The 19035-nt window shown below is 46.6% G+C and overlaps 1 protein-coding gene across 5 annotated transcripts in view, besides 2 other annotated features; it reads right to left on the reverse strand.

Annotated features, from left to right (window-relative positions):
• The window catches only part of CEP89 (centrosomal protein 89), a 96034-nt gene that overhangs the window by 45989 nt on the left and 31010 nt on the right, over nt 1–19035 (reverse strand). For 3 of the 5 annotated variants that reach the window (NM_032816.5, XM_017027398.2, XM_047439563.1), the window contains exons 6-12: nt 17944–17972; nt 15718–15760; nt 11538–11756; nt 9516–9658; nt 5021–5071; nt 4277–4360; nt 1526–1629 (exon numbers count right to left, since the gene is read on the reverse strand). In NM_032816.5, the coding sequence (NP_116205.3) occupies nt 1526–1629; nt 4277–4360; nt 5021–5071; nt 9516–9658; nt 11538–11756; nt 15718–15760; nt 17944–17972 (673 nt within the window). Of the gene's footprint in view, nt 1–1525; nt 1630–4276; nt 4361–5020; nt 5072–9515; nt 9659–11537; nt 11757–15099; nt 15205–15717; nt 15761–17943; nt 17973–19035 lie in introns of those variants that run through there. The other 2 variants (XM_005259344.4, XM_047439562.1) reach the window with 2 other exon arrangements.
• Nucleotides 13706–14207: an enhancer, noted in NCBI's record as "H3K4me1 hESC enhancer chr19:33426525-33427026 (GRCh37/hg19 assembly coordinates)". NCBI's record gives its function as "activates a minimal SCP1, AML or CMV promoter by ChIP-STARR-seq in naive H9 embryonic stem cells {active_cell/tissue: H9 hESC(naive)}" and the evidence as "EXISTENCE:reporter gene assay evidence [ECO:0000049][PMID:30033119]".
• Nucleotides 14208–14707: an enhancer, noted in NCBI's record as "H3K4me1 hESC enhancer chr19:33427027-33427526 (GRCh37/hg19 assembly coordinates)". NCBI's record gives its function as "activates a minimal SCP1, AML or CMV promoter by ChIP-STARR-seq in naive H9 embryonic stem cells {active_cell/tissue: H9 hESC(naive)}" and the evidence as "EXISTENCE:reporter gene assay evidence [ECO:0000049][PMID:30033119]".

Here is a 19035-nt window from a genome sequence, read left to right on the forward strand (position 1 = left end):
TAGAAAATACTTCATTTTTTCCAGTGATGTTAAGACATTTGAAAACACTAAATATAACATAGCTATTCAAAGTGAGTAATTTTTGTTTTCTTAGTCCTGCCTGGATATTGCTTTTAGGCTTTTCAAGACATGTACTTTCTCTAATTCAGTTAACAGGCATTTGCTGTTGCTGTGCTAGATGCGGGGCCACACACAAAAATGAGCAGGACATTGGTTCCTGCCCCTGAGGAGTTCACAAAGGAGAAGATGGAGGCAGATGTGGAGGCAGACAGGATAGGCAGGCGCAGTGTGGCAGGTACCGGGACAGGGCATGTGTTTAAGGCTACATCAGAACCGGAGACAAAGGGGCCGGGTGCAGTGGCTCCAGCCTGCAATCCCAGCACTTTGGGAGGCCAAGACGGGAGGATCACTGGAGCCCAAGAGTTCGAGACCAGCTTGGGTAACCCAGTGAGACTCTGTATCTACAAAAAATTTTAAAAAATGGCTGGGCATGGTAGCACACACCTGTAGTCCCAGCTACTTGGGAGGCTGAGGTGGGAGGATGGCTTTAGCCCAGGAGGTTGAGGCTGCAGTGAGGTATGACTGAGCCACTGCACTCCAGCCTGGGTGACAGAGTGAGACCCTAACTCTAAAAAAACATAAGAAACAGAGACGCCAGGCGCAGTGGCTCACGCCTATAATCCCAGCACTTTGGGAGGCCAAGGTGGGCAGATCACATGAGGTCAGAAGTTCGAGACCAGCCTGGCCAACATGGTGAAACCCCATCTCTACTAAAAATACAAAAATTAGCCAGGTGTGGTGGCACGTGCCTGTAATCCCAGCTACTCAGGAGGCTGAGGCAGGAGAATCGCTTGAATCCAGGAAGCAGAGGTTGCAGTGAGCCGAGATCACACCGTTGCACTCCAGCCTGGCCAACACAGCAAGACTCTGTCTCAAAAAAAAAAAAAGAAAAGAAACAGAGACAAGGGAGCAATAATGGCCTCTCCTGAAGGCAGTGCTATAGACAAGTGCCATTACAGTAGGACCCTAGAGGATGAGGAGTGCAGAAGGGGCTTTCGGAGGAAGGACAGATTGGAAGTGGGGCAACCTCAGTTGTCAGGGAATCTGCCAGGGCAGGCGGATGGAAGCTGGTCGTGCAAGCCTCATGAGCTTTCTGTTTTGGGAGGCCATTTTGAGCTTTCTGTTCTGAAACCCTGGGAGCCATCGCTGGGGCCTAAGAAGGGACGAGACTCTCCAGGTCTGAGATGGAAAAATCACCCTAGAAAAATACCAACTCAGAAAATAAAAAGCAGAAAGCAACTGTATTTCAGGTTTGAGAACCTACTTAGAATTTTAAAAGTCATCTTGAAAATGTAAGTTTAGAATAATTTATTAGGGTTTTATTGTACCTTATTAATTTCTTAGAAACTCTCCCGTAAAATATTTTAGTTAAGAATGTAATTATGTATTTGATAATTTTATAACATATTTTCCTGTTACCATTTGTTTTAAATTAGCAAAAGAGCAGAAACACAATGCCACTTGCCATTCCTCACTGGTAACAGCACTACTCTTATTTAACTCTTGGTGCAATTCTTCATTTTCTTTCACCACTTCTTGGACTCGCATCCTAAACATTCTCATTTCCTCCTGAAATAAAATGTACGTAAATTATAACACACACATACCCACGCATCTATATTTCTCAGTTCTGGTGCTGCTGCTGTGGCTAAAATCAAATGGTAACAGCCATTTAGCAAGGTCTCACAACAGGCCAGCCTTCAACTCTCGGTACCAGCACCAGTGGTGCCTGCTCTCAGGGAGCTTACGGTCTAGTGAGAAAGCACTAGGACCAAATGCAAGGCCAAGTACAAGAGGCAAAGAACCTGGGCTTTCGAGTATTAGATTCCTAATTTGCTAACATTGTTCTATAACTGCCGAATACTGATAGAAAAGGCAGAGATGCCCATCAACGCTGACATTTTTCCTTTGTTTGAAGATGCAGGAGAATAAATTGGAGGTTTTTAATATAAAAAATAAGACTTTTCATCCTTAATTAAAGCTAGATTTGGTGGGGAAGGGGTTAGTTAGTGTGGGAGTTGGAGGAAGCTCTTTTTTTTTTTTTTTTTTTGAGACAGGGTCTCGCTCTGTCACCCAGGCTAGAGTACAGTACTGCAATCACAGCTCACTGCAGCCTCAACCTCCTAGGCTCAAGCGATCCTCCCACCTCAGCTTCCCAAGTACCTGTACTACTATGCCTGGCTAATTTTTGTATTTTGTGTATAGACGAGGTTTCGCCATGTTACTCAAGGCTGCTCTTGAACTCCTAGGCTCAAGGAATCTTCCTGCCTCAGACTCCCAAAATGCTGGGATTACAGTCATGAGTCACCACATCCAGCCAAGGCTCTTAGTTTTGTCCATGACAACCATGAGAAAGTGTCTTACTAGCGTCATCAGTCTGCAGAGCTTCACTGGCCATTAGCCACAACACGAGGTCTGTCGCTGGGCCGGTTTTGATGCCTAACAGTCTATGTCTGTTTCAGCTCCCAACAGTCTGTGTGTGTGACACTTCAGCTGAGCCTCCTCCATCAGGGCTTTTCCAGCTTCCGTGTCCTGCGCTGTCCTTTGGTGAGAATCTGAGGTGCCAATATTTACTCTGGTGTGCCTGTAAAATATTCTACTCCCAGCTGTCAGGTGTTTATGCCTACACCCTTTTAACTTAAAGCAGCACTGCCAAGTAACTTCTCCTCTCATCTCTCCACCCAGACACACTCACTCACTGCTGGCAGTCCATGTGACTCTTTTTTGGAACAGGGGTCAGGCAAACTAAAGTGTGCAAACCAGCTGCCTGTTTTTATAAATAAAGTTTTATTTATTTATAAATAAAATAATGGGCCTCGCCCATTATTTACATGTTATCCTCATCTGCTTTCATGTTGCAACAGCAGGGCTGAGCAGGTGCAAACAGAAACTGCATGGCCTCCAAAGCCTAAAGTGCTTATTAACTGGCCCTTGACAGAAAGTCTGTGCTGACCCTGACTTAGAAGGAGCACCAAAAAAATAATATTATTAGCTATTAGGATTGTTATATATTCAATTAGTACAAGATTCATTCATGCTCTTAGAAAATTAAGCATCCAACACTCAGTCTAAATGAAAAGGATTAAAATTCCTTTCCATGGGACATGGACACGGGACAGCATCACTGATTAGGAACAAGCTGGGAGCCTCTTAAAGGACCCTCCCAGCTCAGGATCCCAGAACAACCAACATTTCTTTCGCTGGATCCTTCCAATTTCAGGGATCTATATGGACACTTAAATGAGGAACCCAGAGGAATGCAGGAGGCACAGGAGGCATCTACAACACCTACACAGGCTTGGCCTCCTGAAGTTAGAACGAGCTCCGCTGCGCGAAGTCATTCCCACAAAACGGCGGTGGACAAGGCAGAAATGGATAAAAACCTCACTTCTCCATTTCCAACAGCTCAGCAATCAGACTTCCCTGGGGTCAGCTCATCCTAGAATTAAGAAGCATCTAAGTTTGCCCAAAACATCTCCAGCCTTTCCTTCCCATGTCTGCCCAAATAGCCCTTTTTTTTTTTTTTTTTTTTTCGAGACGGAGTCTGGCCCCATCGCCAGGCTGGAGTGCAGTGATGCAATCTCGGCTCACTGCAACGTCCAGCTCCCTGGTTCAAGCTATTCTCCTGCCTCAGCCTCCTGAGTAGCTGGAATTACAGGTACGTGCCACCACACCAGCTAATTTTTGTATTTTTAGTAGAGACGGGGTTTCACCATGTTGACCAGGCTGGTCTTGAACTCCTGACCTCATGTGATCCACCCACCTCGGCCTCCCAAAGTGCTGAGATTACAGGCGTGAGCCACCGCGCCCAGCCCAAATGTCCCTTCTAATGGTGGTATTTGCAGCTGCACAGTAACAGGAAAGAAGCACTTCCCCCCTGCTGTCTTCCCTGCACCCCAAGATCTCAGCCCATATGGGCTGGCTGTCCAGAAAGCCATGGCTTCTCATGCAGCACTGCTCTGACCCTCCATACCTCTCCCCTCGCTCCCTATCCACCCCTCCTGCTCTGCCAATCACTCCCTTACTTCCTCCCCTCTTCCTTCTTTCCCTGCCTCCCACCCTGCCACACTCCTTCCTTCCTCCTTTCTGTCCTCTAATAAACATTTGGTTATCTATAATATGCTGGGTATACCTACATTCAAAATGTTTTTATAAAATTTGAAGCGGTCCTATATTTTTATAAATCTTGTGTCTTCTGGGACATTTGCCAGCCTACCTTGAGGGTGGCATTGAGCTCGTCCTTCTCTTTCATCATATCTTCATAAGCCAGCAACAATGGTGACAGGTACTTTATATCCAACTGAAGATAGAGAGTAAAGGAAGGTTAATATATTTCTTACATCTAAACACAACCAGAAAATTTTTAAATGGCAAGAAGTTATACTTTTTTGAAATGGTTTCTTTGGTTGCAGTTGTTATTGTTTTTTAACGACTCTCCCAGCTCAGGATCCCAGAACAACCAACATTTCTCTCCTTGGATCCTTCCAATTTCAGGGATCTATATGGCCACTTAAATGAGGAACCCAGAGGCATGCAGGAGGCACAGGAGGCATCTACAACACCCGCACAGGCTTGACCTCCTGCGGTCAGAATGAGCTCCGTTGCCCGAAGCCATTCCCACTCTGCCGCCCAGGCTCGCGTGCAGTGGCACGATCTCAGCTCACTGCAACCTAAACCTCCCGGGTTCAAGCGATTCTCCTGCCTCAGCCTCCCAAGTAGCTGGGACTATAGGCATGCACCATCACGCCCAGCTAATTTTTGTATTTTTAGTAGAGACAGGGTTTCACCATGTTGGCCAGGCTGGTCTTGAACCCTTGACCTCAACTGATCCACCCGCCTCAGCCTTCCAAAGTGCTGGGATTACAGACATGAGCCACCGCGCCTGGCCTGAAATGGTTTTTAATAGCTATGCAAATATACCCTGAAAATATGGGCCTGAAATTAAATAACTTTCACTTACCAACCAGGGTGGTATAGGGCCCTTGGATGGGAGGCCTTCAATATTTAAGCTCTAAGAACAAAACATGTATTGAAGACAAGTTAAACCACACTTCCTCTGAATTTTCAAGTCTTAGATATTCTTAATCTAGACTGGGCATTGCCCATCTATGCATTTATCTGTCTATCCATCTGCCTACCCACCCACCTACCCACCTACCCATCCATCCATCCATCCATCCATCCATCCATCTATCCATCCATCCATCCATCCATCCACTTTCCCATACACCTACCCATCTATCTATCTATATGTATATATGTATATATGAGAGAAATATTTTTTCTGAAATGTTTTAGAGTAATTTGCAGATATAATGCCCCTTTTCCTCTAAATACTTGTATTTCCTAAAAACAAAAACATTCATTTACTTAACCACAGTACTGTCATGAAAATCAGGAAATCAACACAGATAACAATACTATTTTCATATATATATATATATTACTGCTCCTTGCAGAGCAGGGGTACCCCATAGGCAGTGTGCCTAGAGTAGCCTATAATACTATTTTTTAACCTAACCTAACCTATATGTTATCTTCAAATTTCATCTATTTTCCCACTAATGTTCTTTTCTAATCAAGGATCCAATTCAGGGTCACATGTTGCATTTAGCTGTCAAGTCTTTTATGTCCTTTTTTTTTCCTTCTGAGACAGGGTCTCATTCCATCACCCGGGCTGGAGTGCAGTGGTGAGATCATGGCTCACTGCAACTTCTGCCTTCTGGGCTCAAGCAATCCTCTCACCTCAGCCTCCTGAGCAGCTCAGACTACAAGTGCATGCCACCACACCTGGCTAATTTTTGTATTTTTTGTAGAAATGGGGTTTCACCATGTTGCCCAGGCTGGTCTTGAACTCCTGGCCTGAAGTGATCCTCCTGCCTCAGCTTCACACAGTGCTGGGATTGCAAGTGTGAGCCAGCACACTTGGCTTTTTTTTTTTTTTTCTTTTTTTTTTTTTTTTGAGACAGTCTCGCTCTGTCGCACAGGCTGGAGTACAGTGGTATGATCTCGGCTCACTGTAACATCTGCCTCCCAGGTTCAAGCAATTCTCATGCCTCAGCCTCCCGAGTAGCTGGGACTACAGGTGTGTGCCACCACACCTGGTTAATTTTTGTATTTTTAGTAGAGGCGAGGTTTCACCATATTGGCCAGGCTGGTCTCGAACTCCTGACCTCAAGTGATCTGCCCACCTCAGCCTCCCAAAGTGCTGGGATTATAGGTGTGAGTCACTGCACCTGGCCTCCAGCCCTTTTTAGTCTTTTAAAATCTAGAACATATCTAGTGACTGTTTTCACTGGATATGGAACTTTTTAATGTCACATTGTTGAGTGTCTGGATTTTGTTATCTTCCTTTAAAGAGTACTGGTTTCTTTTCCTTCCGCCCTTCCTTCCTCCCTCCTCTCTCTCTCTCTCTTTTTCTTTCAACTCCTAAGTTGCTTGTGGATCACCTTCATGCTTCTGAGGCTTGTTTTTTCACCCTGGTCATGGTAGGTCTGTAGTAACCTTTCCTAAAAAGCTCTTTTAGCCATACATCTCAGGCACGGCCCTCCTGGGCTCTTGACTCAATGCAAGGTCTCTCCATTGTGGCTGGGCAGAACTCGAAGGTTCCCGGTGCTGTGTGAGCTCTGGGAACCATGCAGCTCACAGCTCCCTGTTCTTATTTTCTGCCCAGTATCTTGCAGTCTCATCCTACACATGTGCAGGGTGGTATTCCACAAGACTCCAAGGAGCCCCATGCAGATTTATATAAGTAGCTCTTTCTCTCCAGGACTCCATTCTTTCTGGTATTCTTGCCCTACGAATTCTAGTCTCCTCAGCTTCCCCAGACTCTCATCTCTGTTGAACTCAGGGAAGGGCTCAGCTCAGGCCCTTCCTCCCTGCTCTGTGATCTGAGACTGCCTCCAGACAGAAAGCAGATCACAGGCTCATCTATTTATCCTGCTACTCTTGAGGGTCATAGGCTGGTGCTGCCTGCTGTTCGACATCTGTAAACATTTGCATTACATATTCTGTCTGGTTTTCTATTTGTTTAGATTAGGAGGGAAAATCTAGTACAGAATCAATGGCCTAGACAAAATAATTATTTATTTCACAAAAGCTTTACAATGTGAACACCTTAATATCTATGTAATTACTCACTCACTCTGCAAACATTGGCAACTCACTAAGTCATTATGGACACTGCAACGCAACCCTTGTTTTCAAGGATTCTATGACCTAGTAACAGAAATAAAATCCACTAACACAAATGTACGTGATATACAAAAACAGTATAGGGTAGAATGCTATAAGTGCCTTAAGAGTGATTACAAACAAAAGTCTGCAATGGTTTAAAAGAGAGAGAGGGCCGGGCATGGTGGTTCATGCCTGTAATCCCAGCACTTTGGGAGGCTGAGGAGGGTGGATCATTTGAGGTGAGGAGTTTGAGACCAACCTGGCCAACATGGTGAAACCCTATCTCTACTAAAAATACAAAAATTAGCTGGGCGCAGTGGAACACGCCTGGAATCCCAGCCACTCAGGAGGCTGAGAAACAAGAATCACTTGAACCCGGGAGGTAGAGATTGCAGTGAGCTGAGATTGTGCATGCTGCACTCCAGCCTGGGCGACATAGAGAGACTGTGTCTAAAAAAAAAAAAAGAGAGAGAGAGATCAATCACTTCTGGCTGGGGTGATCAGGGAAGACTGTCTTGGAGAACATGGCATTTGCACAGGGCAGAAGACAACATGGGAGAAGGCTGTCCCTGGGCCTGTCTGCCCGCCCCATGGTCCTGCAGAAGGCCCTGACCTAGCAAGCAGGTTTTGAATTATAGGACCCTAAGAACTTTATTTGTTTTTGTTTAAAAGTTAGTATTATGTTAAGTGAAAGAAGTCAGTCACACAAAGTCATGTCTTGTATGATTTCATTTCTATGAAATGTTCAGAACAGACAAGTTCATAGAGACAGAAAATAGATTAGTGGTTACCAGGGGCTGAGCTGGAGGAATTGGGCAGCAGGGGAACATAGGGAGTGATTCCCAACAGGTATGACACTTCCTTTTTTTTCCTTTTTTTTTTTTTTTTTTGAGACAGAGTCTCACTCTCTCTGTCACCCAGGCTGGAGTGCAGTGGCATGATCTTGGCTCACTGCAACCTCTGCCTCCCAGGTTCAAGCGATTCTCCTGCCTCAGCCTCCCAGGTAGCTGGGATTACAGGTGCGCACGACCATGCCTGGCTAATTTTTTTGTATTTTTAGCATAGATGGGAATTCACCATGTTGGTCAGGCTGGTCTCAAACGCCTGACTTCAACTGATCCGCCCACCTCAGCCTCCCAAAGTGCTGGGATTACAGGTGTGAGCCACCATGCCCAGCCAACATTTCTTGATTTAACAAAAGTGCTCTAAAATTGACTGTGGTGATGGTTGCATAATTCTGTGACTACAATAAAAACCACTAAATGGTACACTTTTAAAATGGGTATAAATTGGATGGTATGTGAATTATATTTCAAAGCTGTTATTAAAAAAAAAAAGTGAAACGTAAGCCCTCCTTCAAAAAGCAACTCAGAAGCCCATGAGGCCTGAACTCCCAGGAGCCATGGGAGAACACCGTGTGCCTTCCCGCCTTCTACCCCAGCAAGAGCCCAGCCAGCGGTGCCTCCCTCTCCTGTGTCCACAGTGTCACTCACATCTTCACAGCCCCAAGTTCTGTAAGAGTAAGGACCTGAGCATCGGTTCATCTGGCACTCCTCCCGGCATCTCATGCAGTGACCTGCTCAGTGAGAGTGTGTGGAGTTGGACTCTGCAACTGTTCTTAGAACTGAAAACTCTGCTTTCCTTTCGAAGTTAATGCACTGACAACAGCTGCAACTTTCAGGAACGTGACTGAGAAGGGAGCAGCCGACATACACTTTCATTCTTTTACTTTTGTTATTTTTTTTTTAATTTTTGAGACAGGGTCTTGCTCTGTCACCCAGGCTGGAGTGTAGTGGCGCAATCTCAGCTCACCACACCCTTGACCTCCCATGCTCAAGAGATCCTCTTGCCTCAGCCTCCTGAGTAGCTGGGGCTACAGGCATGCGCCACCATGCTCAGCTAATTTTTTTAAATTTTTTATTTGTAGAGACTGTCTCGCCATGTCCCCCAGGATGGTCTCAAACTCCAGAGCTCAAGCAATTCTCCCGCCTCAGCCTCTGAAAGTGCTGGGATTATAGGCACAAGCCACCTCATCCGGCCTCTTTTACTTTGTACACTTCTGTATTGTCCCAATGTTTTACAGTCTTTATTGCCTTTATTACGGGGAAGAAGGAAGGGAAGGAGGCAAGAAACAGAATGGTCCTTAGAAACATTGTGCCTTGGACAGAGCTTTTCTTACATCAAATTATAATAAATAAGAACCTCTCAAGATTGGAAATCAATTCAACAGTAAAGGCTTAAAAATCTGAAAAGCTGATTTTCACAATCGGAAACGTTACCTCTTCCTTGGACAAATGCCTGAATTTTGTCTGATATCGACTGAGTTCTACATTCAAACGATGGACAGTCATTTTCAATCCATCATTTTCATCCACCAGTTCTTGAGCTTGTTTTCGCAGATAAAGTAATTCAGGTGCAGCAACTAGGGAAAAAAATTTAATATTATACTATAAGAAATAACATCCAATTTATCCAGATTTTATTAAATTGCAAATCGTTTGCTTTTCTCCCCTCTTTCACGCTCAGAGGCAATGAACTGTGTGTGCGTGTGTGTCTGTGTGTGTATGTGTGTCTGTGTGTGTGAATGAATAAAAGTTACAACGTTTTTTAACACTGAATAGTTAACGTTATATTGAAAGTTTGTGGAAGTTTTTGCATGTACAATAAAGTAAAATAAAAATTTCAAGTTGGAAAGGAATAGTCATTGTTTCAGATGACATAAGAATATGTGCTTTGAAAAATCATACAGAGGCCGGGTGCGGTGGCTCACGCCTGTAATCCCAGCACTTTGGGAGGCCGAGGCGGGTGGATCACGAGGTGAGGAGATCGAGACCATCCTGGCTAACACGGTGAAACCCCGTCTCTACTAAATATACAAAAAATTAGCCGGGCGTAATGGCGGGCGCCTATATTCCCAGCTACTTGGGAGGCTGAGGCAGGAGAATGGCGTGAACCCAGGGGGTGGAGCTCGCAGTGAGCCGAAATCACGCCACTGCACTCCAGCCTGGGCAACAGAGGGAGACTCCATCTCACAAAAAAAAAAAAAGAAAGAGAAAAATCATATAGAATACATGGAAAATGTATTAGAGCTAATAACCTTCCCACATAATAGCAATGTCCTATTAGAAAACAAAACAGAAAATAGATCCCACAAGGTAACAGCACAAATAATATATAGTATCTAAAAATAAATGTGCCTAAGATAAGAATTATGCAGGGTCTATGTGAAAAAAACTGACACCACCTTACTTAAAGCTATATTAGTTTTATATAAATAGAAAAAGGTATAGAGAAAATATTGGTGAATATTTATATAACCTTAGAGTTAAAAATGACTTAATACCAAGAGTGTAAGTCATAAAAGAAAAACATTTTATTGATTTAGCCCAATTATCAACAAACTAAGAAAATATTACACCTATGACAAAGGGATAAAATCTTTCATATGTAAGGAGTTCCTGCAAATCAATAAAAAGAAGTCAAGTGTCTCATTGTAAAGTGGGCAACTTGGCCATGATAGTGGCTCATATCTAAAATCCCAGTGCTTTAAGTGGCCAAGGAGGAAAAATCCTTGAGGCCAGGAGTTTGAGACCAGCCTGGGCAACACAATGAGGCCTCACTGCTATAAAAAAAATTAAAAAAAAAAAAAACTTAGCCAGGCATGATGGCGTTTGCCTTTAGTCCCAGCTACTCAGGAGGCTGAGGTGGAAGGATCACTTGAGCCCAGGAGTTCAAGGTTATAGTGAGCTCTGACCACCCCACTGTAGTCCAACCTAGGTGACAAGAGTGGGATGCTGTCTCTAAAAAATAAATAAATAAAGTGGGCAGCTTTATGAAAGAAAAAGAAAATGACTTGCAAAGATATGAAAAAATATTCAAGTTCAATAATAACAGAAATACAAATTAAAATACTATTTCTTTTTTTAACCTATAAAAGTAGCAAGGAAAATATAATCATTGGTAAGTCTACGGTAAAGGAGGAGCTTTTTTATGCTTCTCTTAGGGATAAAAACTGAAGTGAAATATATGTAAGCTAAGCATCAAGTTCCAAAAGAAGTATTGGAATCTCTGTTTTGTTTTTGTAAATTCAGCTTCTTTCCAACCTGAGGAATTTCTTTAGTGTAATAATGATATAGCAGATGAAATCAAATCTCAACAAACATAAGGATATTAACAAAAAAACCTGAAATATTACAACATAAATTACCAACACAAATATCACAACATAAAATATTAACTCTCAAAATAATTGAGTGAAGTCCTGCTCATTCCTCTAATAAAGGCACTCTGTCTGTCCCCACCTTCCTGTGACGACGCCTTCTCAGCCTCTTTGAGCTTTCTCTTCTCTTTTTCCATTCCCTTAAGTTTTAACTGTAGTTCTTTCATTGCTTGTTTCATTGTGTTTAGTTCAAGGGTAAGGCTTTGATTCATATTGTTTAGGTCCATATTTTCTTCTTTTAATGCCTCAAACTTTTCTCTGGTTATTTCTGTATATCTTTGACGTGCTCTACCAGTTATATCTGAAAGGGTTCAGGGGAAAATTTTACAATGTTAATTGATGTTGACAATGTTACATCAAAATCAACTGACTTTGTTCCAAAAACCACATCAGGCCTGGTGCCATGTTCTTTGGTCCCTGGGAAGGGAATGGCTTCTACAGGAAACAGTAAGTGGCCTGATGAAGTCACAGCGGGTGGCAGGAAGAGAGGTACTGAGGGGAGGCCAGAAAGGGAGGCCAGAGCTGCAGGAGGCCGTGCCTATTGTGATGTGGCATGGAAAGTTCATCTTGCAGGGCAGCAGGAGCCAGCAGGGCTTTCAAGCAAAGGTGTGAGAAGGAAGAGGCTCTGCTCTTGGGTGAATCCCTCAGGCCAGCAGGGAAGAAGGCAGGTTAGAATGAGGCCTAGCCCAACAGCTGAGGGGCAGCACTAGAGTGGGGACACAGAGAAAAGGACACATGAGAGCAGGACTCAGGGGCTGGTGGCTGGCTGGGTGCGGGCAGTGAGAGAGAAGCAGACCCAGGATGACCACCCAGGTCTGTGTCTGGCAGATGCTCCCCCAGATGAGGAGCACACTGTGAAGAGCAGGTGGGGATGGAAGATGAGGAGAGGCAGGCTTGGGTTGGTACAGAGGCCCAGAGTCCCAGGGCAGCCTCTGCTGGGGAGACTGACGAGCCACTGGCCTGTGGGCAGCACCTGAAGGCACCAGGGTGAGGAGAAAACCGAGGTCACATAGGACCTTAAGAAGGAAGAGCAAGAAAGTGGGGTGGAAACCAGCGCTGTTCCACGGGGAGATGTGCTCCGAAAGGTCACAGGAGGTGAGGCTCCCATGGGCCCTGGCCAGCGCACCTCCCAGGGGAGGGAGAGGCGGAAGCAGAGCTTCCACACAGACGAGGGCAGGATGGCTGGTGGCTCCAGAGAGCCTGGCCCAACCTCTGACACACACATATCCAATCCCTAACATGCAAAAGGTGAGGCTCAGAAATGGGAAACTCCACAGCTACATAGAAACAAGGGAACCCTGAGAAATCCCAGAGATAAAACAGTTGAGATGAGAATGAAGATGGGTGCCAAGCCTGAAATGTGCCAAGAGAGGGCAGCTAGAAAATGGGGAGGGGTGGCTCCAGGGATACACCTTGCCCTGGTAGGAGTGGAGACACAAAGTGGCCTAGAAAGAGCTGATGAGGCTGGGCCTGGTGGCTCGCACCTGCAATCCCAGCACTTTGGGAAGCTGAGGCAGGAAGCTTGCTTGAGGCCAGGAGTTCGAGACCGGCCTGAGCAACATAGCAAGAGCCCATCTCTACAAAAATCAATCAATAAATAAAATTATATTTAAAAAGAAGCAGCTTGAAGCAGCTGATGAGCTGTTGAGTTAGATAACCAGAGTGGGAATAGCAAGGGGTTAACCCACCTGACCCAGGCAGCAACAGCAGAAATGTGTGCCCCTCCTCAGGCAGAACACACAGGCCCTGAGGGCAGAAAGGCAGGGCAGGGGGCTGGAGAAAGCCAGGAGGAAGAGGGGTCCCCACGGATCCCGGTGGGCCTCACATCCTGTCCATCCCCATCAGTTGCTGGAGGCAGCAGTCGGTACAGCCTGGCAGCCTGCTGGCTCTCCCTCTTCAGGCAGGGTGCAGTAAACAGAGGTAGCATCCCCATGTGGGCCACAGGGAATCTCAGAGACCCCAAGAGGTATCAAACAGCAGAGCCAGAGAACACCAATGGCAAGTGAGAGAAGAGAAGGGGCTGCAACACAAACCCTAAGACTGGATGCGCATGGTTACAACTTTCAGAGAGACGTAGTCAGTGTCACAGAAATCATGGAAGTTAACGTTTGATTAACACCATAAACTGAAAGGATGGGCTGAGCCGCAGGATACACATCATGAAAAATGAATGCATGGCGCAGAAGTTGGAGCCCCAGCAATCGCCCAGAATACAGCATTGAAAATGCTGAGATTGAAAGGGTGCAAATAAAGTTAATCTGACGCGGAGGAGACTTAAACCAGGATTTTCAGAGCAGTGACACTGATGGCAGCAGTGGCCCATCTAGAGTGGCCACCGCACAGACTCTAGAGCAGGGAGGTGTGGCCCAAGCCTCTTGCTCCATGGAGCAGGCAGGAGCCCCGGCCCTCCCTGGGTGCTGCTGCAGCTGCCCAAGCCCGGCTGCAGACCCGAGAATCTCTGTGTTCTTGGGGGCCCAAGAAGGCCCCCACCACCCACCATAGGCTCCGAAGTGCCTGATCCCACTGCCTGGCTTCACCCCACTGTGGGCACCTGCTCCAGAGGTATGGTCAGGGCTGCATGCTCCACAGAGCCATCAGGAGCCGGGGACAAGCGGGAGCCCTGCCCCTTCTGAGTTGGTGGGGCAGGAGCTCATGGGGTGCTGCTACAGTTGCCCTCCCATGTGTAGGACCTGGGTGTCTCTGCAGTCTGCACCCTCGGGGGCCTGGGAAGGCTCCCGTGTCCCCGCAGGCTTATGGGTGTTTGCTCTAGCTGCCTGGTCTCTCCCTGCTCCTGGTGCCTGCTCCAGTCTTGCAGCAGGGTTGGAGCGGGGTTTAGGCCAAGCCTGGGCACTGTCACAGCCTGGCTGGGAGTGTGCATACTCAGGGCAGTACTGACACGACAGCGCCCTGCCGCCTCAGCCCCCTCCAGACTTTGGGCACCCATGAGCACAGGAGGGAAAGACAAGGGGGTGCTGAGGATGGCTCTGCACTGGCCTGCAGTTGCCCCTTGGTGTGAGCAGCCTGGGTGCCATGGACTGGGCAGCAGGAGGGAGACAGGTTCCTGGGCAGAAGCAGGCAGGTCCCCGGTGAGGCCCCGCCTTCAGGTCGGAGAGGGCCTGAAGGCTGGGGACCGGGTTGCCTGTCCCGTGGGACTGCAGTAGGAACTTATGGTGCCTTTTCCAGGCCCACCCATGGCCACCCATGGACCAATCGGTGCGCACTTCCTCCCTTCTGAGGCCCATAAAAGCCCTGGGCTTAGTTGGAGCAGAGCAGATGAGATGACCAGCTGCAGAGAGGAGTTCCCCTCTCTGCTGATAGCTGGAGATGTCAGAGGACCAGCAGCAGAGAGGAGCAACCCACTCCAGGGCCTCCTCTCTACTAGGAGCTGGTCAGAATAACCAGCTGCAGAGAAGAACAACCCTCTCCAGGGCTTCCTCTTTGCTGAGAGCTGCAGAGACAGTTGGGTGACCTGCCTTCAGAGAGGAGCCATCGACTCCAGGGGACCTCCTCTCTGCTGAGAGCTGAACACTTAACGGGACGACCTGCCTACAGAGAGGAGCTACCCACTGTGGGTCTCCTCTGAACTGTTCTAACATGCAGTAAAGCTCCTCTTCGTCTTGCTCACCCTCCACTTGTCTGCTTACCTCATTCTTCCTGGACGCAGGACAAGAACTCAGGCAAAGGCACACTGGCACCACAGACATTTCCGACCAGAAAAGCGACACCCCAAAGATCTTGTAACAATGTGGGACCTAACAGCAAAAATTATAACCTCCATTTTGGAAGCCACTGAAGCTCCCCAAACTGTTCAGGGGGCATAACCCATAAAGCATCTCTAGACCTCTCCCTCTGCCTTCAGCCTCAGAGCAGAGCCCATAACTGCACCTGCCTTCCCAGTACGGATCCCAGTACATCATGGGTCCACTCCTCCCACTGGGATCCCAGCACATCCCACAGGTCCTCCTTCCACCCCCAGGATCCCATTACATCCCACAGGTCCACCTCCCTTCCCCCAGGATCCCAGCATATCCCACAGGTCCACGTCCCCCCAGGTCCAACCCCCACCCTCCCAGGACCCAAGCACATCCTGTATGGACATACGTCCACTACCTAGTGTTTGGACCCTCTCTTTTGAGGCAAGGGTGAAAGTTCAACAACTAATACAAGAAAAAGAAAATGTAATCTTTATTTTCAGATAAAATTAATCTGGATATTCTCCAAAACAAGCTTTTCAATCATAATATAATTCAAAAGGCAAATACCTGGGGAGGGTGGAGGTTTCTCACATAATGGAGGTTTTTCATCCTAGGAAAGAAAGAACATAAGAGGAATAAGTGCAGAGCATTAGTGTTTTATAAAGTGGACACACGCAGCTAGGTCATTAGACAGCAGGTATATAAGCATGCTTTATTTCCTTCATTTTGACTCTTGTTCTTTGTTTGTTTTAGCTTTCAAAACTTTAATATGTACTATTTCTTTTTTTCCTTTTTTAAGACAGGGTCTTACTCTGTCACCCAGGCTAGGGTGCAGTGGTGTGATCGCAGCTCACTGCAGCCTCCAACTCCTGGGCTCATGAAATCCTCCTACCTCAGCCTCCCAAGTAGCTGGGATTACACATGGGCCATCACACCTAATTTTTTTTTTTTTTTTTTTGTAGAGATGGGGTCTCCTGTTGTCCAGGCTAGCCTTGAGCTCCTGGGCTCAAGGGATCCTCCTACCTTGGTCTCCCAACATGCTGGGATTACACTGTTTCTTATACCTGAATCTGAGACCTTAAGTGTCTTCCCCTCTGGTGGGCTCTCTGAGGCTATAAAGGAAGTCCTGCCTGAGCTTTCTTCCTGCCTTTCTGCACTGAGTTCAGTGACTGTCCTTACAGGTAGATCCCGTGAGTAGCGGGCTGTGGGCTCACGTTGAAAAGCATGTGCTAGGTAGGGCTGCAAGTGCTGAGCAGAGATGCCCTCAGCAAACTCCAGCCAGGCCTCTTCTCACTGGGATGGGCAAAAAGGACCCCATCAACTGCAGGGAAGCACATTTGCAAAATGCTGAGAAAGGAACAGTAAGATATTGCTTCTCAACCCCAAACCTAGAGGAAAGGGAAGGCTGTGAACTTTTGTTAATTTTTCCTTACATGGTGGTGTGATATTAAGTTTCTAATTTCTGCTGACAAAGTAGACAAGGTTATAAATTAACTCTGCAGAGAAATGTTTAATTTTTAAGTTCCTATGACATCGCACAATGAAAAACTTAAGTTAGAACTATTTCCATGTTTGCAAATTAGTTATTAAAATTCTCAGGCCAGGCCAGGTGTGGTGGCTCACACCCGTAATCCCAGCACTTTAGGAGCCCGAGGCAGGTGGGATCGCCTGAGGTCAGGAGTCTGAGACCAGACTGGCCAACATGGTGAAATCTCATCTCCATTAAAAATACAAAAATTAGCTGGGCATGGTGGCATGCACCTGTGGTCCTAGCTACTCGGGAGGATGAGGCAGGAGAATCACTTGAATCCAGGAGGCGGAGGTTGCAGTGAGCCGAGACTGCGCCACTGCACTCCAGTCTGGGTGACAGAGCAAGACTCCATCTCAGAAAAATATCTCAGGCTAGGCACGTCACATCATGCCTGCAATCCCAATGCCCTTGGGAGGCCAAGGCAGGAGGATCGCTTGAGCCCAGGAGCTTGAGACCATCCTGGGCAACATAACAAGACCCCATCTCTAAAAAAAAATTTTTTTTTAATTAGCCAGGAGTGGTGGCATGTGCCTGTAGTCCCAGCTACTCAGGAGACTGAGGCAAAAGAATCACTTGATCCCAGGAGATTGAGGCTACAGTGAGCTATGATCACACCACTGCACTCCAGCCCGGGTCACAGAGGGAGATCCTGTCTCAAAAAATAATTTTAACAAAAGATAAAATTGTCTATTCATTCCACATTCATTTTAATTATAAAGTAGTTTCTAACCCTTTAATACATTACTTTCATCATTAAACTATGGAAAATATCAATTTCCTCATGTTTTAAAAGTATTTAAGGCCAGGCACAGTGGCTCATGCCTGTAATCCCAGCATTTTGGGAGGTCGAGATGGGCAGATCACTTGAGCTCAGGAGTTTGAGACCAGCCTGGGTAATATGGTGAAACCCCATCTTTATCAAAAATACAACAAATTAGCTGGGTGTGGTGGCATGCATCTGCGATCCCAGCTACTCGGGAGGCTGAGGTGGGAGGATCGCTTGAGCCTGGAAGACGGAGACCGCAGTGAGCTGAGATTGCGCCACTGCACTCCAGTCTGGGTGACAGTGAGACCCCCTTCTCAAAAAAAAAAAAAAGCATTTAAAAGAAATATTCAACAGGAAAGAACTCTTAAGGGAAGATTTATTTTTGCCCCAAAATCACCGCCAAAGTTTCAACACCAAAGTTGTTGAAAATTTATGAAAAATTATGATAAAAACTCTATTTATTGAGAAAATCAGTTTTTAAAAAAAATGATCTTACCTTTAAATTCAGAACAGGGTGTTTACCATCTGATGAAGAAAAAGAGAGAGAGATAAACTTTTAAAGTAGATAATGAAATATGACAACTCAGAAAGTACAATCATAGAAATTCACCTTCTACAGAGGAGCTCGACAAGGCCCAGAACAGGGATAAAATTCACAGGGTCACAGGGCAAGTGGGTCCCAGAGCCAGGCTGGGGCCTGACTCTAAATTGTCATCTCTCTCCCATACCCATGCCTGACCACCATCCGTGGCTCACGTGGCTGCAGAACCAAAGCCAAACTCTTCAGTGTCTCCAAGCCCTTCCCATGCCAGGCTTCTCCTCTCCTTCCAACACCCCTCCCCATCACTCTCCACACATCTTCCCATGCCGGGCTCCTCCTCTCCTTCCAACACTCCTCCCCATCACGCTCTATACATCTTCCCATGCCGGGCTCCTCCTCTCCTTCCAACACCCCTCCCCATCACTCTCCACACATCTTCCCATGCCGGGCTCCTCCTCTCCTTCCAACACTCCTCCCCATCACGCTCTACACATCTTCCCATGCCGGGCTCCTCCTCTCCTTCCAACACTCCTCCCCATCACGCTCCACACATCTTCCCATGCCGGGCTCCTCCTCTCCTTCCAATACTCCTCCCCATCACGCTCCACACATCTTGCCCACCACTCCCTGGATGGGCCAACGCATACTCCTATTGGCCTACCCTCCCTAGATGCATCATCCAACCTGGTCAGAAAAATAGTTGTTCCTTGAAGCAAACTGTCTCAACGACAGAGAGGAAAACAAATCTCACCCACTTACTCATCTTCCACACATCTGTAATCCAGGTACCCTAGGAAGCAGGTGATCTTACACCCCAGTTTGCCTGTACACATTCATGTTGTAAAAAGTTGGACATCGAGTTGCTTTTTTTTTTTTTTGAGACGGAGTCTCACTCTGTCCCTCAGGTGGAGTACAATGGTGCAATCTTGGCTCACTGCACCCTCCGCCTCCCAGGTTCAAATGATTCTCCTGCCTCAGCCTCCCAAGTAGCTGGGATTACAGGCATGCGCCACGACACCCAGCTAATTTTTGTATTTTTAGTAGAGA

The sequence above is a fragment of the Homo sapiens genome, chromosome 19 (assembly GCF_000001405.40).
Source record: "Homo sapiens chromosome 19, GRCh38.p14 Primary Assembly".
In the NCBI taxonomy this organism is placed as follows: domain Eukaryota; kingdom Metazoa; phylum Chordata; class Mammalia; order Primates; family Hominidae; genus Homo; species Homo sapiens.